General features: G+C 56.7%; 2 protein-coding genes across 10 annotated transcripts in view, besides 2 other annotated features; one reads left to right on the top strand and one right to left on the bottom strand.

Annotated features, from left to right (window-relative positions):
- The window catches only part of CHLSN (cholesin), a 160,294-nt gene that overhangs the window by 108,565 nt on the left and 30,047 nt on the right, over positions 1-21,682 (bottom strand). The gene's annotated exons all lie outside the window — the stretch shown is intronic.
- On the top strand, positions 590-7,282 carry GPER1 (G protein-coupled estrogen receptor 1). 3 transcript variants are annotated; one of them, NM_001039966.2, is made up of 3 exons: positions 590-716; positions 1,670-1,793; positions 4,879-7,282. In NM_001039966.2, exon 3 carries the CDS (start codon positions 5,201-5,203, stop codon positions 6,326-6,328), a length of 1,128 nt encoding a protein of 375 aa, NP_001035055.1. In that variant the 5' UTR covers positions 590-716; positions 1,670-1,793; positions 4,879-5,200; the 3' UTR covers positions 6,329-7,282. The 3 variants fall into 3 exon arrangements, with proteins under 3 accessions (NP_001035055.1, NP_001496.1, NP_001091671.1); NM_001505.3 differs by lacking the exon at positions 1,670-1,793; NM_001098201.3 differs by lacking the exon at positions 590-716 and having other exon boundaries at positions 1,585-1,793.
- Positions 8,965-9,674: an enhancer, noted in NCBI's record as "H3K4me1 hESC enhancer chr7:1135129-1135838 (GRCh37/hg19 assembly coordinates)". NCBI's record gives its function as "activates a minimal SCP1, AML or CMV promoter by ChIP-STARR-seq in naive H9 embryonic stem cells {active_cell/tissue: H9 hESC(naive)}" and the evidence as "EXISTENCE:reporter gene assay evidence [ECO:0000049][PMID:30033119]".
- Positions 13,981-14,481: an enhancer, noted in NCBI's record as "H3K4me1 hESC enhancer chr7:1140145-1140645 (GRCh37/hg19 assembly coordinates)". NCBI's record gives its function as "activates a minimal SCP1, AML or CMV promoter by ChIP-STARR-seq in primed H9 embryonic stem cells {active_cell/tissue: H9 hESC(primed)}" and the evidence as "EXISTENCE:reporter gene assay evidence [ECO:0000049][PMID:30033119]".

The following is a 21,682-nucleotide window of genomic DNA, read 5'->3' on the forward strand; positions in this document are numbered from 1 at the left end:
GTGTATATTTCCTAAAATACACATCTGAAAGACTTTAAATTGCTATTGCACAGATGCCTTGAGCCCCAGCAGGTCCCGAGGGGCCGAGTGCCCCTGGAGGCCCAGCACCCCACTCTTGCACCTGCACCAGCTCTCCTGGCGGGGAGCAGGTCCCGAGGGGCCGAGTGCACCTGGAGGCCCAGCACCCCAGTCCTCTGCCTGCACCAGCTCTCCTGGGGGGGAGGGGGAAGGGGGGAGCCCACGCAGGTCTCTGAACCACGCCTCAGGCTGCAGCAGCCGCATTACTCATACTCAGCGGACAAAGGATCACTCAGCATTCAATCTCACCACTTCAAAACATTACAGAGGGAAAACGACACCTAGAAGTAGGAGTGAGATTCGCTGAAGTTCCCTTCTGAGGAAGACCCACCCCTCCGCCTGGAGAGCCGGGGCTGGCGGTGCCTGAGGACCCCTTCGGCCTGGACAGCCCACGCGGGCTTGGGGGGCCTCGCTCTGCCCTCATGGGGCGGCCATCGGTTCCCGAAGCGGCGAGTGAAAATTCAAATGGCCAGTAGGGGGCGCACTCGGAAGTGGCCGCCCCGCATGAGGCAGTTCAGCGGCCCCGAGAGTCCGGGGAGGGAGGTTTATTCTCCGCCTGCACGAGACTGTGAAATCCGCAACCATGAGCAGGAGAGGCGGCCCTGGTGGGGAAGAGGCCACCAACATCTGGACGGCAGGTAAGTTCCGACGCTTCTGCAGCGAGCGCGGGAGGAGGGACCTGAGGCACCGCTAACACTCAGAGAAAACTACCGGCTGAGGGTCCCTGGTCTGAATGCTTGGGACCGGAAGAGTTTCGGAGTTCAGATTTTTGCAGATTTTGGAATATCTGCAGGTACAGAATGAGAAAGCTAAATACGAAATTCATTTGTGTTTCATACACACCTTATACACACTGCCTGAAGGCAACTTTATAAAAACACTTTTAACAATTTCATGCATAAAACAAACTTTGAACTGCCTGGACTGCAGCCCGCCACACGAGGTCAGGTGTGGAATTTTCCACTTGTGTCACGACGCTCCAACAGTGTCGGACTGTGGGGCACTCTGGATTTCAGATTTCCAGATGCTTAACCAGTACTCAGATTCCTAAGTTACTTGTCAGAAATGCCTATTTCTTGGGATTACACTTCTCTCTGCAAATGTCTGTGAAATTCCTGTTAAATTCTTTATGGATCATGCACATGCTACTAAGTTAATTATGAAATTTAGTGTTTAACGCAGGTCAGTTGCAAAAACAAGAATATTGCTTGCTTCAACCCAGGAGGACAGGTTATTGCCTAAAAGATACACAACACCTAGTATGATGCCTTCAAACTTAAAGAAAGGTTTGTATCTGTGGGTGAAGAAAAGCAGTTAAACCAGAAACTTCCACAAAAACAAGTCTAGTAGAACTGAGCTGATTGCCAAAGTGTGGGAGAAAAAGGGCCAGCAAAAAAATGGTTAACACTAGCCTTCTGAGGAGGCCGCCCAGAGCCTGGCCAGAGAGGAGCCAGAGAGGAGCGGGGCGGAGGGGGCCTATAAAGCCCTGTGCCAAGGGGCAGACTCACTGGCTCAGAGGGAGGACGCACCCGCCAGCCAGCCGGGAACCTTCCCTCGCGGGCTCCCAGGGCGGGTCTCTTCCTCTCTCTAGCCCTGCTCAGGCATTCGGCAGGTCCAGCAGAGGTACACCTCCTGCAGCGGGTTCCAAGTGCACCTCCAGCCTGATGGGCCTGACCAAGGAGGCTTCCAGGAGCACAGAAGGGGCTGCAACCCAGGTAGGACTCAGCCTCGGCCTGGCGGTGCCATACCACTGACTAGGGGAGCGGGTGGGTGGTGCCACCCAGGCCGCTGTCCTGTTATGGGAACAGCTGAACACAGACCAGACACCTCACCCCCTGGTGAGAGCAGCACCCAGCTTCCCAAACTCAAGGCACAGACCCCTCTCCCCCGGAGCTCCGGTGGTCTCAGCGTGACCGCAGCAGGGGCTTTGCCTGGACGGCCTTTCTAACTCGTGCTGAAAGCAGGACCCAGTATTCCGTCACGTTCTGTCCCAGCAAGAACGTGTCTCACTTCAAGAAAATGAGGGTGCCCACTCTGCCCTGCCCTGCGGTGCCCCAGTCACTCTCACCAACCCTGAAGCCCTGGGAGGGCCACACGCCTTTTGACAGATGCAGACTTAATACAGCTGACTAAAGTGTGGCTTTATTTCTCTATGACAAGCAGAGGAAATCTGAAATGAGGTATTGCACTGTTTATAACTCCATGGCCACCTCCAGTGAGGACGTGGGGCCAGTGGTGAATGGCACACTAGGTTCCTCTCACCCAGGACCACATCAGACACTAGGACACATCAGACACCAGGTCCCGTATCTTCTCGGTGTCTGGCAACGATCAAAAGACTCAATTTACATGGGAAAGAAATGAATGACTCGTTTTTAAACTATTTTTCCCTTGGAGTTCATTTAACAAAATTAGGAAAGAAAATAAACGTTAAGTTGAGGGTTCTGCCCACCTTTAAACTTCCTGCCACGCCACGGTCTAATACGTTCCAAAATTTCTACATTTAAAGAGCAAAACAAGTCCTCTGTGCCGTTTTTAAGAAATTAAATACAGAGGCGAAATGCGGAGTCTTTCAACCTTCCCGACAGAGCCTGAGAGCAGAGGCATTTATGCTGTTCAATGGTATTATCTACTAAAGATGAATCAAGAGTGCAAAATAACCAAAATCAAATTCACCAGCCCCAGCTAAGTGAAGGTTATTCAGTACTTTTAGAATAACTGACACAGAGGCAGTGATTCATCTTGTCTTCCCCACCCGCCTGTTTTTGAGATGGGGCCTCACTGCAGTAGCTCAGGCTCGAGTGCAGTGGTGTGATCTCGGCTGAGGCTCGAGTGCAGTGGTGTGATCTCGGCTGAGGCTCGAGTGCAGTGGTGTGATCTTGGCTCACTGCAACCTCTACCTGCCAGGCTCAGGCGATCCTCCTGCCTCAGCCTCCCGAGTAGCTGGGACTACAGGCGCACACCACTATGCCCAGCTACTTTTTTTGTCTTTTTTTAGTAGAGACAGGGTTTCGCCATGTTACCCAGGCTGGTCTCGAACTCCTGAACTTGAGCAATCCTCCCACCTCATCTTCCTGAAGTGCTGGGATTATAGGCCAGCCTTTTTTTTTTTTTTTTTTTTAAGTAAGTATTTTCAAGCAATAGGTCAACAAATCTCTAGTCTGGTTTTGCAGCACTTCAAAACAATAACCCCTGGCCCGGCGCGGTGGATCACACCTGTAATCCCAGCACCGTGGGAGGCCAAGGCGGGCAGATCACTACAGGTCAGAAGTTCGATACAAGCCTGGGCAACATGGTAAAACCCCATCTCTACTAAAAATATAAAACATTAGCCAGGCGTGGTGGTGCACACCTATAATCCCAGATACTCAGGAGGCTGAGGCAGGAGAACCACTCTAACCCGGGAGGCGGCAGTTGCAGTGAGCCGAGATTGTGCCACTGCACTCCAACCTGGGTGACCAAAAAAAAAAAACATTCAAAACAATAACTCCTAATGATTTCAAAAGGTAAAATGAAAATTCCCAAAGGAAAAACAACTCAAACCCATTTTGAAGTGTTAGTTTACTCCAGGGCACCAGCACCATCTGGGCCAGGTAATTCTCTGCTGGGCTTGGGCACCTGTCCTAGGCACTGTAGGGAGCTGAGCGGCAGCCCTGGCCCCACCAGCACCCCCCTGTGACTGCCCCCGCATCCCCAGAGACTGCCAGTGTCTGCAGGCTGAGACCCCCGTGGCCCGCTGCATAGAGAACTTCCAGGAGCACAGTGACACGGGGCAGGTGACGGGACCCTCCCCACTGGCGGCAGAGCCGGGGTGACACGGGGCAGGTGACAGGACCTCCCCACTCGCAGCAGGGCCAGGGTGACACGGGGTGGGTGATGGGACCCTCCCCACTGGCGGCAGAGCCGGGGTGACACAGGGCAGGTGATGGGACCCTACCCACTGGCGGCAGAGCCGGGGTGACACGGGGCGGGTGACGGGACCTCTCCACTGGCGGCAGAGCCAGGGTGACACGGGGTGGGTGACGGGACCCTCCCCACTGGCGGCAGAGCCCGGGCACCGCCGTGGGCGGACAGCCCACTTCTCCCTCTCTGCAGAGGATAAGCTCGGGAGGGACTCTCTCCCTGGAGTTTCTTCCTAGGTTACAAACAGCATTGCAAAAACATATTAGGTTTTACAATAATTTGTTAAAACATGAAATAAAAACGTACATATTATTTCCCAAAACAATGACCCCTTTCACTCTATATTACGAAAATAAGTTTATTTTTGGTACCTAGAACACAGAACTAGCATGAGGAAACCGCTGAACTTCTGTTTTATCGTAAGAGAAGATTCTGCTCTGATGTCCAGCTTTCTGGACCCACTCTCTCTCTCTCAGAAACACTGGCTTTCCCTTCCTATCTTACTTCTCCATCAGCTGCTGAAATGCATTTTCCCCTCTCCTCACAAATGCCGTTGTCCTGGGGCGGCCGTGCCCATACCTTCATTGCTTCCTGGGCCTGCTCTGTGGCTATAAAGGGAAAAACACCCCTGCCTGTGGGAGTGACTCACGTCCAGCCTCCAGCTGCAGCTGAGCAGCCGTGGGACCTGCAGGAAAGAAGGCCATGTACTTCCCACAGGCGACTCTTCCACCTCAGCTCAACCACAGCCACCTCCCGAGCTCATAAAGCTGAGGTTCTGGCCCTCCCCAGTGCTCCTGACACACCCAGACTCTACAGACACCCGGCCAGGGGAGCCAGGCCTTGTCCCAAAGCTGGGGCCACTCGATGAGACTTCATCCTCTCCTGTTGCTTCTCCAGGTACCCAGAGAGTGAGCAGCTCCACGCGGGACTGTGCACGGTGGCCGACACCCGCAGGGACGCCCGCCGGACGAGCACGCGGAGGGCCCTCGCCTCCACGGATGCACCATGCCGGTGTGAGGAGCATCTGTTCTTCCCACTCTCTGCAGTTAACAAACCCAACCCAAACCACCACAGGTGCTCCTCCTGGGGAGTTTCCTGTCTGACAAATGCCAGGCTCACTTCAAGGAGAATCACGCTTCTTTCTAAAGATGGATTCACCATTTAAAACAGAGCTCTGGGAGCCTTTCGGCAAATCTTGAAAGCTGCACGGTGCAGAGACATGGATGTGACTTCCCAAGCCCGGGGCGTGGGCCTGGAGATGTACCCAGGCACCGCGCAGCCTGCGGCCCCCAACACCACCTCCCCCGAGCTCAACCTGTCCCACCCGCTCCTGGGCACCGCCCTGGCCAATGGGACAGGTGAGCTCTCGGAGCACCAGCAGTACGTGATCGGCCTGTTCCTCTCGTGCCTCTACACCATCTTCCTCTTCCCCATCGGCTTTGTGGGCAACATCCTGATCCTGGTGGTGAACATCAGCTTCCGCGAGAAGATGACCATCCCCGACCTGTACTTCATCAACCTGGCGGTGGCGGACCTCATCCTGGTGGCCGACTCCCTCATTGAGGTGTTCAACCTGCACGAGCGGTACTACGACATCGCCGTCCTGTGCACCTTCATGTCGCTCTTCCTGCAGGTCAACATGTACAGCAGCGTCTTCTTCCTCACCTGGATGAGCTTCGACCGCTACATCGCCCTGGCCAGGGCCATGCGCTGCAGCCTGTTCCGCACCAAGCACCACGCCCGGCTGAGCTGTGGCCTCATCTGGATGGCATCCGTGTCAGCCACGCTGGTGCCCTTCACCGCCGTGCACCTGCAGCACACCGACGAGGCCTGCTTCTGTTTCGCGGATGTCCGGGAGGTGCAGTGGCTCGAGGTCACGCTGGGCTTCATCGTGCCCTTCGCCATCATCGGCCTGTGCTACTCCCTCATTGTCCGGGTGCTGGTCAGGGCGCACCGGCACCGTGGGCTGCGGCCCCGGCGGCAGAAGGCGCTCCGCATGATCCTCGCGGTGGTGCTGGTCTTCTTCGTCTGCTGGCTGCCGGAGAACGTCTTCATCAGCGTGCACCTCCTGCAGCGGACGCAGCCTGGGGCCGCTCCCTGCAAGCAGTCTTTCCGCCATGCCCACCCCCTCACGGGCCACATTGTCAACCTCGCCGCCTTCTCCAACAGCTGCCTAAACCCCCTCATCTACAGCTTTCTCGGGGAGACCTTCAGGGACAAGCTGAGGCTGTACATTGAGCAGAAAACAAATTTGCCGGCCCTGAACCGCTTCTGTCACGCTGCCCTGAAGGCCGTCATTCCAGACAGCACCGAGCAGTCGGATGTGAGGTTCAGCAGTGCCGTGTAGACAGCCTTGGCCGCATAGGCCCAGCCAGGGTGTGACTCGGGAGCTGCACACACCTGGGTGGACACAAGGCACGGCCACGTCATGTCTCTAAACTGCGGTCAGATGTGGCTTCTGGCTCCTCGGGGCCTCGCGAGGGTCACGCTTGCCTGGTCACCCTGGGGCTGCTTAGGAAACCTCACGACTGGTCACCTTGCACTCCTCACACAGAATTGCTACAATCCCAAAGCGCTCGCCCCGCAGGGTCCAAAGGCCAGCGGTGACCAGCCTGTCACCCAGCTCCTCCCCGCCAACCCTGCCTGCCGCTGCACCTGCCTGCCGCTGCAGGAAACATTTCTGACACCGTCGACCAGGAAAGCCACACGGAGAGGCCACTGTGGGTGAAGCGCCTCAGTTACACAGGAACCCTAAAGCAAATCTGCCACCGTGGGGGAACTGACGCTGGAGATGCAAGGTGCTGGTGGGTCTGAGCTGGACGTCGCGGTGTGTCCTCTGTGCCCACGGTCTGAGCTAGCTAGCGCACCGCCGAGTTAAAGAGGAGAAGGAAAACATGCTGCTCTGGTGCACGCCTGAGCGTCCTCCATCTTCCAGGATGGCAGCAATGGCGCTGTGCGGCCTCACCAGGCCCACGAGGAGCAGCAGCGCTCGGCCCGGAGCAGCAGGAAGGCCCCTCTGTGGAGCGCCCGCCGTCTGCTCCGGGGTGGTTCAGTCACTGCTTGTTGACATCAACATGGCAATTGCACTCATGTGGACTGGGACCGTGCGAGCTGCCGTGTGGGTTAGTCGGGTGCCAGGACAATGAAATACTCCAGCACCTGTGGCTGACGAATTTGTTTCTACAGAAATAACAGCTGGGGACAACTGCGGTGATGATGTAAAAACCTTCCCATAAAATGTAAGAAAAGCTGATGAGGCTGGTGACGTTCAGCCTTTGTCAATAAACCTGTCATGTGCGGATCCTTCCGGAGGCTCTGTCTTGGGGGTCTGCCAAGTGGGGTGGGACGTGGGGTGGGCATGGGGCACTCGGGAGAATCCCTCCCCCCTCACAGAAAACACAGCCCTCCCCTGCCACCCTGAAAACTCTCACAAGGCCAGCCTCTGAGTCCGGCCAGCCGGACCTAACCTGGCATTTCCAGGCTGTCCAAAATGCCGTGGGGGCACTTCTGTGTCATGCTTGGGTGCCATGACAAGCTTCCCATGAATGTAGGAGGCAGGGCTCAGCCTTGTCCAGCAGCCTGTGCGACCTAAGCTGCCTTTCTAGAAGGCTCTCGGCCGCGTGCGAGGCCCAAGAGCTCTGCGGCACCCAAGCGCTCCTGGAGCAGCCGGCCGGGAAGGTTCCTGCTCCTTCTCCCATCACCGGGGCTGGATCCTGGCGCTGCTCCCCTCCTTTCCCGCCTCACCCACCTGGCAGCAGCTGTCCCTGATGTTAACAAGGTGCACCTGAACCAGTGCCTGCTTCTCCGTCTTCACAGAAACCTGCGCAGGGCGTCGGGATGTGTGGGTGAAGGGAACTAGCCACCTGTACTACCCCCTCACTTTTCCTGTGTTTGCGGTTCTGGTCTGTTTAAAAGCTATGATACTGTTTTTTATTTGTGATAACATAAAGTTTGATATGCAAACATATTGAAAGGAAAAGGCCAATTAAAGAAAACATCTGCAAAAGAGCAGGGGGTGAACGGGTGCGGCACAATGAAGACTGAACGCAGCCATGTTGAGTCCAGGAAACTCTCTCCTCCTGTCTGTGGGACATAACACAACCACAGTGAGTCCAGGAAACTCTCTCCTCCCGTCCATGGGACATAACATAACCACACATGAGCCCAGGAAACTCTCTCTCCTCCTGTCTGTGGGACATAACACAACCACAGTGAGCCCAGTAAAACCTCTCTCCTCCCGTCTGTGGGACATGAAGCTGTGTGTCGGTGGGTGTGGGAAGCCTGGGTCTCTCAGGCAGGTGGGGCCTGTATTCTCCATGACCCCAGCACCGTGGTGCTGGGCTCCTCAGGAACAGAGCGCTGCCCAGACCGTGGCCTGCAGGAGCGGCCTCTGTGCCCACTTCTATCAGGATTGCTTTCCTCATAAATGGCTCACCGGGAAGCCTGGGAACAGGGCGGCTCCCACACACTAACAGGTCTCGTGGAAGTGGAGATTGCTGTGGGGTGGCCAAGCCAGAAGCCAGGCTCACGTGTGGCACAGTCCTGCAGAACACCGTGCGTGGCTTGAGCCACGACTCAGGCCCGGCGCACCCCTCCCTCTGCCCTTCCAGAGCCTGCCCTGCAAGTCACCCCAGCTAAAAGGACATGGCCATCACACTGACATCCGTGCTCTGGAGCTCCTTCCAGGCCCCAGGGACGAGACTTGCCCTCCTCCCCAGGGATGTACTCGCTCAATGCCCAGGACAGCCAGGCAGCAGCCCCCCAAACCCCCACCCCCCACACCTGGGCGCTGTCTTTACAACAATACCCAGGACAGTCACGCAGCAGCCCCCAAACCCCCCTCCCCGACACCCGGGCACTCTCTTTACAAGATGCATGCTTCAATGAAGCTCCCCTTTTGACCTCAGTGTTGCTGATGGGGAAAAACCATCCAAGTCCCAGAAAGCAGGCGGGGTGGGTGCTCTACCACCAGGCACCCAACTACCTGTCAGGCATTCCCCACACACAGTCCCGTTCACATAGCTTCAACAGGGGCAAGGGCAGACGCTTTAAAATACGCAGACGAGAGACCCAGCATTTCTGACTTCCAGTTCTGACGAGCTGACGTGGGGAGACCCACACGGAACGTGGTCTGGTCCCCACCCCTCACAGCAGCCCCGTGGGGTAAGCGCTGTCCCCACCACACCAAGGAGGCACTAGAAGGGTCAGTCACTGCTCGAAGCCTTAAATGGTGGGTGACACAGCCAGGAATTCAGCCACGCTCTCCTGGCTCAAAGCCCACAAGCTCTGTAGCACTCGGCAACCCCTGGCGTCTAACTGGCAAAAGCACGCCATGCAGAAATCATACAGGGCTGGGGGCCATGGGCATCGAGGGGTCACCCAAGGTCACCAGCCCAACCTCCTCTAAAGCCTGCTGTGCGGGAAGTGCAGGGACGGCAGCAGCGGCAGCGGGGAGGGCTCCCTTAAGGTGATCTGGGTGGGAACTGCGTCTGAACAGAGCCCCAGGCATCAATCAGGGACGGGACTCAACTCATTCCTCCACGTCAACCCACCACAGGGAACAGTGCTGACTGTGGCGTCCTTCCCTCCCTGCCACAGACGCGGCTTCCATCCTGCCCGCACCAGACACCGCTGTTGAGTGCGTGGAAGCGTCACGCCGCCCCACTACGCCGCTCCTCTCCGCCAGGTCTCTTCTGGGGACTTGCCCAAGGCTCTGGGCAGACAGAGCTGACACGCCGCCATCTAGCCGCCGGAAGCAGACTCTTGACCTGTGAAGCTGGCGGCGGCACTGCTCTGAGGCCAGTCACACGAGCGACAGGCACCCAGCAGCCAAGCCACCGGGCTGCGGTAAGGGCAGGTGCAACACTGAGGTCCCCACGCAGTAGAGCCAGCCTTGGACCCTGGGCCCTGGAGTCCCTGACCCTGAGATCCCAGAGCTGGGAGCTGTAGGACAGAGACCAGCAGGCCGGGCAGGGACTCCGTGGGTGCCGCCGGCGCAGCCACACACGCCCTTCTCAAGCGCTTGCCTGGGAGCCAGGGCAAATGTAATTGTTTTTGGCAGGCCCACGGTGAGATAAAATCAAGGCGTCTTAACTGCTCTGCTGTCTCCTGGTAACCCAACTCTCCTACATGAGTGCTTTTTAAACCCAGAAAGAGCTCAAAAGTACATAGCTGCAAGCATGGGAAAAACCCCCGTGTTAGCACTGAACGTGACCTCCTCGTTCTTTGTGCTTAACAATTAACTCTTGACCTCACGAGAGTGACACGGCTTACCCGCCCTTCCCAGGCCCCGCACCTCCCACTCAGTGAGAAGCGGCAGCGGTGGGCTCACTAATGCTCACGCGCCCACTCACCTGCAGTCTTGGGGGGCAGGGTGGGGGAGAGAACTACAAAGAAACCTTCTTAGGAGGGTGTTTCTGTGGCGGGGTGGGAAGCCATTCCAAAGCCGTCCTAGACACCCCGTGAACTGGGCACATGAGGCAATGTGAGGAGGCTCCTGAAGCCGGGGCTCTCCCAGCAGAGGCGGGAGACAGGGCAGGCGAGGGGAGCCCATGGGAACGGGTCAGGGCTGAGGACAAGGCTTAACCCAGACATTGAAAGTAAGAAGCAGCACACAGACTACGCGAGTACGTTTGAACACTCACAGACACACGCTCACATGTTCCAAGCTCTATCTCTGCAGCCCACCTGCACAGGGCCTGGCCCCGAACACTGCCACCCTCCAGAAGGGCCCAGGACTCCGGGAGAAATGGCTGATTTGGGCCGGGGCAGGGAGAGACAAGATGAGCCTGGGACAGGTGATTCTGGTTGAGACAAGAAAGGCTCCAAGAGCACGTCGGGTGACACCCAAAGGACACGGTGTCCTCGCCAAAGCTGGGACAACGTGAGCAGTAAGATGAGTAAGAAGAGACAATCGTGATAGACCATGAAAAGCAGGAGTCTGCAAGTCTACTCCAACAACAAACAGACCTAATATAATTTAAATAAAATGAAAGAATGCATGAATGGGAAGAGTCTCGTTTCTAATAAAGTGCTGGCTGGTAAAGTAGTTGGAAAAGCATCACTCTGCACCTTTCAGAGGGAGACGGGGGCAGGTAAGAGTCACAAATGGAGGGCGAATCTCAGGGGGCAGTGAGGTGCAGGGGACTGCAGAGCCTACCTGTCCCCCACGGATGGCTCATTAGTGCTCGGGGAAAGGTCACCACACAGTGGAGACGGGACAGCCCCTCGCTGGGTGATCACATGGGCAGCACCAACAAGGAGGCCGGTCCAGATGCTACACCCTGAGAAGGGTGCGTCTCGTGCTGTCATCTAGGAACGCACAGCCTGAGTCTCATCAGGAGGGAATGTGAGATAAACAGGAAGGGAGGACGGGGAACCAGGATGCATCAAAAATGTCCATGTGACAAAAGACAAAGGCAGAGCAATCATCCCAAACTCAGAAGGAGGAAAGAGATGTAACAATTCGACACAACAGGGATCCTAGATGGGTGCTCTACCAGAAGGAAAAGAGCGTCGTGAAGGATTTTATGGGGTCAGTCGACAAGAATGGAATACCCCGGGAGATAAAAGTGCTGCCTCAAAGTCCATTTCCCGAGATGGGCAACAATGCCTCTTAGGAAGCCCACACTGGAGTGTGCAGAGGGAAAAGACGGGACTGTGCGAGTCACCCCCAAGAGGCTCCGTGGCGGCAGGATGCACACAGCAAGTGGGGTGGGTGCACAGCAAATGCACAGGACAAACGTTATCCACTCCACGCCCATGGATCAACCTCAAAGAACCGGAAACATGCATCCAAGCAAGCATTTGTTCGTGAATGTCCACAGCAGCACTGTCCACAAGAATCAACACGTGGAAACAACCCAGATGTCCATAAGCCAATAGACGGAGAAACGAAATCAATCTATCCAACAGTGGAATATTACTCTGCCATGAAAAGGAACAAAGCGTGGACCACACCACAGCATGGTGGACCTGGAAATGCCACAGTCAGGAAGATAAAGTCACAGTCAGGGAGATAAAGCAGACACGAGTGGAGACGCCACGCTCGGTGAGATAAAGCAGACACGAGTGGAGCTGCCACGCTCAGTGAGATAAAGCAGACACGAGTGGAGCTGCCACGCTCAGTGAGATAAAGCAGACACGAGTGGAGCTGCCACGCTCGGTGAGATAAAGCAGACACGAGTGGAGCTGCCACGCTTGGTGAGATAAAGCAGACACGAGCACAATGTCCACTGCGTGCGTCCGCCAATGTGAAACGTGCAGGGCAGACAGGTCCACAGGACAGAAGGCTGGGAAGCGGCTGCCGGGGCTGGGGTGAGCGGGGGACGGGGAGCCACTGCTGACAGGCAATGGAGTTTCCCTGGGGGTGAAGAAAACGTTCTAAAATTAGATTGTGGCGATGGCTGCACAAGTCTGTGACTAAAAATCACCGAGGTACACACTTCAGAAGAGTGGATTTCTGCTATGTAAATTACATCTCAGTAAAGCTGCCATTGAGACCACAGTACCCATTCAAGCGCCGGGCTGTGTTCCTGCAGCTGGCCTTCCTTTTCAGAGCCTCACTGTCACGTTCTTGCAGCGGCCTCCCCTTCCGGAGCCTCGCTGTCGCGTTCCTGCAGCCGGCCTCCCCTTCCGGAGCCTCGCTGTCGCGTTCCTGCAGCCGGCCTCCCCTTCCGGAGCCTCGCTGTCGCGTTCCTGCAGCCGGCCTCCCCTTCCGGAGCCTCGCTGTCGCGTTCCTGCAGCGGCCTCCCCTTCCGGAGCCTCGCTGGTCTCTGCAGACCAATTCTGTCCCTCTGAAGCACAGGCCACCATCGGACAGTGCTGGCTAACAGCCGCCCTGTGCTGGTGGGCCACGGGGACGCCAGCCCAACACTCCACACACACTTCGTTAGCAGCCACAAAACATTTCCTAAGAGCGGAAGGGTTTCCGCCATCTGGAATCCTAGACGCCATCCAGCATTTATTGTAAAGCTTCTAATTAAAGCTTTCTCTTCTCGCTCACCGCCTGGTAAGTCGAGCTTTACTTTTCTTCTCCACGGTGGGAAACTCATTACCTGGAGTGTCTTTGGATGTACTTTTAAATTAAAAATGGAGGAAAAGAGCGTTAGTCAAAATTAGAGCTGAACTGACTGAGTCTCTCTGGACTCCCTCAGAAAGTGGAGATGCCAGCTCCGCCTCCTGCAGAGCTTGGTTGCCAGGGCTGGGTCAGGCTGCCTGGGCGTTGCCGTCTGACCTGTGCACAGATGTGGCCAGGTGAGGACACAAGCTGTTGTCTCGTTTGCTGTGTGCTGTTCGCAGACACGTCTCACTAGGCGGTTTGCTCAGAACTCCAGAGGACAAGGGTACGTCATTCAGGCCACGGTGCAGCAGACGCACCTGACGGCGGGGACTCAACCACGGCAAACCCTGAGTAATACCGTGCGGCAGATGCACCTGAGGGTGGGTTCGGAGTTCCAATCTGAGCTATGGAACCTGGGTATGGACAACTGGATAATCCACTTCTCATTTAAGAGGAACATCTGAGCCCCCGTCCCCGTTCTGTGCACCGCAAGCCAAATGGGAGGGAGAGCCTGTGTTCTGGGTTACATGAAGGTTGCCAGGTGGAGGGTGCTGAGTGGAAATGCTATACATGCCACTTGCCTTTTTCAAGCAGGTGCGTTCTCCTGTCCAGCCGGCCACCACTGCACCCTGCCCCGTATGAGCCCTCAGTGGAGCCCCATGTCTCGTTTGCTGGCACTAGGCCTCTTCTCAGGCCTCCTGAAGCTGCTGCCAGCCCACAGGAGCCGACAGAGGCTGGGTGCCGTGTTCAGGCCACTCTCGCTCTTCAGGTCCGGCTGGTGAGCAATTCTCTGGGAGAGAGTGGACACCAGAGGCAGGCAAAGCCACACCTGTGGGTGCAGGCCACACGCAGGCTGCACAGACCCGGGACAGGTCTGAGCTCTGAGGCGTGCGGCCCATCTCCGCGGCAGGAGCTTCTGTCTGAGCCTGGGGAGGAAAAGCCTCCACCTCACCAAGCGGCGTCAGCTGGGGAGCCTGGGCCGTGCGCCCTCAAGAAGCCATGGCTGGAGGCCTTTGCTCCAGACATGACCAGCCCCTGCCTTCCTGGCTCTCTGGCAGGTGGTGAGTCAGCTGACCCAGCTCTAGCGGAAACAAAGTGGGGGCTGGGGGAGGGGCCGTCTGTGAAATGTCCCCAGCCGGAGCCCCTCACTGTCCCCTCTGCCTCCCTGCCTCCCGGCCTCCACAGGGGCTTCTTGTGGTTAAAAAAAAAAACAAAACAAAACCCTTTCTGAGCACTTTACCCATCTCGCCCACAGGCAGAGACGACACCCCGAAAGGACAGCTGCGTCTACATCCATCAGCAAGTCTCCCGGGAACGGCTGAGGGGCAGAGATGGGAGAGGCCACAGACGCAGGCACAGAGCCCCGTGCACCCCTGCTCCTGGCCTAGGCGGGGTCTGCAAAGGCCCTTCCACCGCAGGCACAGCCCGTCAGGGAGGCTCACGCTCCACTCAGAAGGACACAGCCCGTTTCAGGGAACACAGGCCCAGGCGGCCCTGCCACAGGCTCCCAGTGTCATGGTGGCCCCTGAGGTGACACGTGCGCCACGAGGGCAGGCGTGTACGTGCGCACACTCCCGCAGACTCTGCTCTCGCACACACCCAGGCTGCGTTGCTGGGAAACGTCAGCTGCTGCGGTTGGTCTGTCTGATTTCTGCCATTGTCTGGTGGGTGGAGGATGGAGCCTGGGAACAAGGGTTAAAAAGCCAAAGGCACGCAGAACAAACGCCCTGGACGCTGGTGTGCTGCTGAGCCCAGGTACTGGGGTGGACTCCACCTGAAACCTACTGCCAGAAGTCAGCTGCTGGGAGTCCCCAGAGGGGCCCAGCTACTCTCAGAGCAGGCGCGTGCGGCGTCGGACCAGGGGCTGGCTCTGTAGAATGTGAGCATCTGCCAACTGAGCCTCTGAACATGACACAGTGAGCGGCTCCTTACACAGAGCCCCTTCCTTCCTGCTCCCGCCCCTTCCCCGGCTATTCCTGAACAACTTCTAGAGCTCTGCACCTTCAGCCTCCTGTCTGATTCTCGCCGGGATCAGCCTCCGCGCAGCCGCCCAGGTTCCTTGCAGGGTGGACCGTCCCGTGTCCCAGCACCGGGCCCTGCCCACGGCGTGCCTCCTGAGAGGGCCCACTCAGCACGGCCACGGCAGCCTGAACTCCCAGCCTTGGTATCCACGCAGCCCGCAGCTCTCTGCAATGAGGGGCCGGCCGCAGGCCCAGGGAGATGTCAGCTGCCCCAGGCAATCACAAGCAAGGAGGTGCGCGTCGCGGACACAGCACGAAGCCCTGCTCGGCCTCCAGAAAACGAGGCTCGCTCCTGAGTCTTGGCTCGCTGGGCCACCGTCACCCTGCTCTCTGGTTCAAGAGGCAGCGGCCAGGCCAGCCGAGCCAGGAACAAGCTGCAGTGCCTTGGCAGCGTGTGAAATGCAGAAGGTCTTGCCCATAGAAGTCATCACAGCAGAGCGCTCTCCCCACAGGGGCTGGGCAGCATGTCCGCTGACCACAGACCTGGCTTTGGGGCACGTGCACCACCCACGTTAACCATCCAGAGCTACAGGCAACAGCCCAGTGCCAAGTGCAGCCAGCCAGAAAAGAAAAACACACAAAAAAACGGCAAAACACAAACTCCGTCCAAAGTCCACCCACGAGCAAAGCCAACCGCATTATTCAGAGCTGCGTGCCCAGCACACGGCTCTAGAGAGAAGCGAGGAGCTGGGCCCAGCGGCAGTGGCAGTTCCCTTCTCCACCGCGCAGTCCCACTAAAGCTGCGGGCAGCTCTTGATTTGTGTATCTTACAAGAAGAAGAGGAGGGGGAGAAGAAGGGAAAAGTCGGCGTCTGCAGCCACACTCAAGTTCTTCCGCTCATCCACGACTGTGAAGCTCACAGCTCCGGCCACGCTGGCGTTCAACACCAGGTCACTGTCACTTCCACAGGGGACGGTCTTGCTTCTTTGGTAAAACCAAAGGAGTGTTTCAAACCATGCCCACCTTCCATTCACCTGTTTTTAAAATTTTTTTTTTTTTCAGAGCAGGAGCGGACGTTTATTAAAAAGCTTTAAGAGAGAAAGGAAGGTGCACTCGGAAGAGAACCCAGCGGGCGACCTGGAGAACAGGTGACCCACTGAACTGTGATCCTGCGCCCCTTTCCGTGAGGGTGGGCCGCCCGCAGGCACGGTGCCCGCCTCACCCTTGGGAAGTGAGCACGTGTGCTGGGATTGGGAAGTTGCACACGGGCAAGAAAGCAAGCACGGCGTCAGCAACATCAGACACAGAATCAGGGGCTTCAGTAAGAAAAAGGACAGCAGCTCTTCCTTGCAGGAAAATAGAGTCTGGAGGAAAAATGCCCCGTCCCCTGCAGCAGCTTGAACAGAAACACTGTACAGGGAGGTGGGCACACCAGGGAGCGGGAAGAGAGAGACACTCTGTTGCCGTCTAGACCCCGACCCCTTACCCGTGACACGGAGCCCACCACATGTCTGAGAGCAGACCTCTGCAGCGTGCGGGCCGGGGTCTGGATGGGGTCTCCCGGGCCCTCCTCCCTGGCAGCCCCGTCCGGGAGGCGCGGGTGCAGCCAGTTCACACATAAACGGTGTGGAACATCGCAGGCCACAGGGAAAGGCGTTTACGTGGCTATCCAAACTAAACCTCCTCCCACGCCCGACCCTGTGGTAAAAGACAAGTGTGCATGCTGGGCAAGGACGAAAGCTTCATCCCCTGGGCTGAGATTGTCGGGTGAAAGCGTCAAAGTGGAAGTGGCTACTGGAGAAAAACCCTCGCGCAGGGAGGCACAGTCATTCGGCTTCTTTAAGGAAAACCCCAGCTATCAGGCGCTATGCACACAACAGTCGTTAGAATGACCTTACACCCCACAAAACACACAGTCCTCTTGGAGGTGTATCTGCAGCTGAGGAGGCTGTCACCACACGAATTAGCCCTTATTTGTATTTCCATTTCCCAAGTTCAACTGTATCAGGAGACATTGGCTGATGAAACTGTTGACAAAGCCAGACTTCCTGCTACAAAGCCTGACTTCAGAAATTCAGACCACGCTTTCATTATGATCAAATTTAAACCCAACTTCAGAAATTCAGACCACGCTTTCATTATGATCGAGTTTAAACAAAACCAACAGCGACGTCCCCACCCTGCACAGGAGAGGGCTGTGCTCCGTCTCCCGTGTACTCTCATGGCATCTCCCCAGCCCCTGAGACGGGTCTGCGGTTGTCCCCACTTCACGGTGAGACACAAGTGTGCAGAGGGTGCCCAACCCGGAACTAGCTTGGGGGTGGGCTCCCAAGGACCAGGCAGCGTGGAGAGCACCCGGTGGGGCAGGGGAGAGCTGGAAGGATGGAAGGAACCCTGGCCTGAACGGCCCACAGCAGCGCTGGCCCCTGCCCAGGGAGTAAGTTCCCACCAAACTCCAAGCTCTGTGCTTTGGGATCTCGGTGCCACCTAAGCACCAGCCCCGTGCTAGCACCCACCAGGCTCTGCCATGGCACCCACAGGTTTCGCCCCATCTGGTTACCATCTCACACTGCCAGGCGGGACCAAAGTACCTGGGTTGAGGTGGCAGCTATGCTGAGTCCTGAACCGTGGGCAGGGCTCTGTCAGGCCACAAAGGCTCTGGAGAAGGCCAACCTCCACTGTCAGCACCGAGGCAAGGGCCTCAACACTGGATTTATTTACCAGCCTTTAAAAGCATCATCCGCCATGCATGCAGTGGCCCGGGAGGCTGAGGCGGGAGGGTTGCTGGGCCCAGGACTTCGAGGCTGCAGTGAGCTATGATCATGCCTGTGAATAGTGACTGCACTCCAGCCTGGGAAACAGCGAGACCCATCTCTAATGCATTCACGTCATCTATGAGCAGCAAATGAAAGCTCAGACACCTGAGAGGCCGGTGGCTCCAAGGTGCTGCACACCCTGACGCCCGCATGTCAGTACTGCAGCTCCGGGCAAATCACAGCAGAGCTTTCCTCCAGGTCAGCGCAACTGTGTTCCCGAGGGGCCCATGCAGCTTACGTGGAAAGGCCACCCCGTGCCACTCAGAATTACCAGGAGCGCAGCAAGTTTAAACTAGACACTGTTTATGCGCCTGACAGCAGGAGACGTGAGCCGGGTGCCTGGGAAAACCATCTTCAAAGCAACAACTGTTTTCCCAGCTGTGAATGCTCCATCCTGGGAAATCTGCTCATACCACTACAAAAATAATTTTGAAAAGACCGTACAAATATGCAGCCTCATCTGTCCATTCTGGTACTTTAGACCCAAAACTGAAGAACTTTCTGGAGCACACTATCCGCTTAGCCAGTGACTAATATTCTTTACAAACATGAGTGAATGTTATAATGAAATAAGCTTCCTTGAATAAATGTGATGTTAGTTCACTTAACTGAGAACAGTAAGTTCAGAGGCTTCCTTTGAACAGTCAGGAAGTGGAGATAATCGCAGTAGAAGAGAGGGACAGACAGGAAGACTACTCTTCTGCACTCTCTATTTTCTTACTATGTATCGCAATTTTATAAAAGAAAAATAGTTGTCATGAAGGAAGAGGTGTTACAATCCTGGGTAAAAGGGCCAGGGCAGGAGCATGGACAAGCCACAGGCTCTGGGCACCTCTGGAATAAAATCTCACTTCAGCTTAAAATACCAAACGTATACTGTGACCAGCAATTTCAATATGGTGACCAACTGACATGCCCTTCGAACGCCAAGAAGACAACAGCCCCAGAAACAGCTTCAGTCAGGAGACCCAGGGTGCTGGCCCGGTTCTGCCGCCGGCCGGCTGTGGAACAGGCTTCTGGAGCCCGAGGGTGACGCCCCAGCCTCTAAGAGCAGGTGCTTGAGAACAACAGGGGCTGCCTCATGGGGTGGCCTGTGGTTCAGTCTCAAAAGCAGCAAAGGAATCAATGAACTGTGAGACGCTGATCGTTACTCACTCCACAGATTACTGTGGTGACACTATGTGCAAAACCAGGAGGCCAGCCATGCTTTTAAAAATACTTAGAAAAAAAAATTACAAGCATGTGAAAATGTACCAAATATTTCTCTTTATTTTATTCATATTTTAAGACGAAGTCTCACTCTGTCGCCCAGGCTGGAAGGCAGCGGTGTGATCTCGGCTCACTGCAACCTCCGCCTCACGGGTTCAGGCAATTCTCCTGCCTCAGCCTCCTGAGTAGCTGAGATTACAGGCACACGCCACGCTTGGCTAACATTTCTCTTTCTAAATGTTTTCATGTTTTCTGTATTTTTCATAATGGGTGTGTTTTACTTTTAAAAAGAGGAGGAAAAGGCTTTGTTTTTAAAATTAAATTAAGAATGATATTAAAAGACCATGTATAAATCAAATCTATGCTGAGAGTTCGGCCGTGTCAGAAAGACGCGTCCATATCACAGGAACAGAGAGGAGCACACGGAGGGGAGAGGAGAGAGGTGAAGGGGCAGAGGGAGTTGCTTTCCTTGCTCAACTTTTCCTTGTATGATTTCGATGCTGTTTATTTAGGAAACGAACGGGAAATGCAGAGTGTTTCCAAGGCATGCATCATGCAGATGCTGCAGAAGTAGCTTCTACCCGCTGCTCACCGCTCCCATCCTCGAGTCCCGCACACTGCCCGGCCGAGCACTCAGCTGTCGGGCTCTGCCAGCCACGCGGACTCTCCACATGCGGATGCCACCACCAACTTGCCCAACAGAGACAGCCACCTGGTCCCTGCACAGACTCAAGGGTGTGTGTGTCTGGGCATCAGAGGGCCATCCAGACCCAGCCAGAGCGAAACCCCAGAGACACGTCCTTCCAGCGCTTCTGAGGGCCCCTGTGTTCTGGGTGCCGTGTGGGGGAGAGGACAGAGCCAAGAGAGGCCAGGACAGCGTGGCAGGGAGAGGATGCAGGAGGGGATCAACGTGGAGAGGGGCAGGCAGGGGCCAGACTCAGGCTGGAGGGGCCGAGAGCTTCCACAGAGTCTGCTGGCAGCATAGACGGATTGACACGTCAGGAGGAGCCCGGCCCACATGAGCAAAAAGGCAGGCAGGCGGGAGAACAGGTGCAGCCTGGTGAGGGTGACGGGCCTGGGGCAGGCAGAAGGGCCCCACTCAGGGTGTATTTCAAAGGTAGACAAGACAGGGCTTACTGGCTGTGGGGTGCGGCCAGAAAAGAAACCAGAGAAGATGCCGGTGCTGCCGGAGGGAATCCCTGGCTGTGCTCCCAGCTCCCAAAAGACCAACTGACCTCAAGTCTGAATCTGCCGCCCCCTTCCCTCCGTGCTGTTTCTGCAGTGGCGAAGGGCAGCTGGGCCAGGTGAACACACAAAGAGGAAGCCAAACCGTGGTGCAGAGCCAGGCCGGACAGAGGGATGTGGCTCCCTGCCCACCGTGACCACGGCCAGGAGCCCCCAACAGCAGGTCCTGCTGGGACTGCACCAGGCCACGGGGAAGCGCAGCCCTGCCAGCACCAGCCTCCTTGCCTGCCCGCCCAGCATCAGCTCTGCCTGGAAGGAACGCAGACTCGACTCCGGGAAGGAAGGAAGCTCAAATGCTCTGTACTGCAGGACCATGAAGAGAAGCGGGGAAGGGAAAGAGCCACAGAGGAAGCCATGTGTCCATGTGCACTGTGAGCAAGGCCAACACCCACCCGGAAAAACTGCCGCTTAGCCCTGTCTGCAACCCACTATCCCCAAGCTCAGTGGGCACTCCACAGCCCGCCTAGGAATGGGAGAGAGCCCATGATGCGCTCACAGACACCCAGCTATGCACGGGTCAACAAATACGGTCCCATCTGCAAAAAAGAGAGAAAACTGCCATTTACCAAGAACCCACTACACAGAAGCCAGTGACTGTGGAACCACCAACAGACATGACTCTGCCTCCTGCTTCTTAACCCAGGGAAGCTGGTAGCTTCTTCCCACTCTACAGAGAATAAGACCATGAGATGAAGGTTCTGTCTCCCAATCACAGAATTCGCCGTGGCTTCCAACACCATGCTGCCCACAAGCTGCAAAGCACATGCCAAAAGCTCAGTCAACAAGACAGAACTACTGGACAGGGCTCTGAACTCTTTTTGACAATCTTATGAACACTAGGGGTTCTCTCCCCACAACTGTACCACCGTGACGTACAGTCTGCAAGTTCTTCCCTGAATCCCACCAGTGGCCTGCAGGGAAGACCTTCCTGCACTGGAGCCCCACGCCCCGGGAGGAAGCAGAGGAGGGCTGTGTCCCACACTGGAGTCCTGCACCCCTGGAGGAAGCAGAGGAGGGCTGTGTCCCACACTGGAGACCCGCACCCCGGGAGGAAGCAGAGGAGGGCTGTGTCCCACACTGGAGACCCGCACCCCGGGAGGAAGCAGAGGAGGGCTGTGTCCCACACTGGAGACCCGCACCCCGGGAGGAAGCAGAGGGGGGCTGTGTCCCGCACTGGAGACCCGCACCCCGGGAGGAAGCAGAGGGGGGCTGTGTCCCGCACTGGAGTCCCGCACCCCGGGGGGAAGCAGAGGGGGGCTGTGTCCCGCACTGGAGTCCCGCACCCCGGGGGGAAGCAGAGGGGGGCTGTGTCCCGCACTGGAGTCCCGCACCCCGGGGGGAAGCAGAGGGGGGCTGTGTCCCGCACTGGAGTCCCGCACCCCGGGGGGAAGCAGAGGGGGGCTGTGTCC

The sequence above is a fragment of the Homo sapiens genome, chromosome 7, assembly GCF_000001405.40.
Source record: "Homo sapiens chromosome 7, GRCh38.p14 Primary Assembly".
In the NCBI taxonomy this organism is placed as follows: domain Eukaryota; kingdom Metazoa; phylum Chordata; class Mammalia; order Primates; family Hominidae; genus Homo; species Homo sapiens.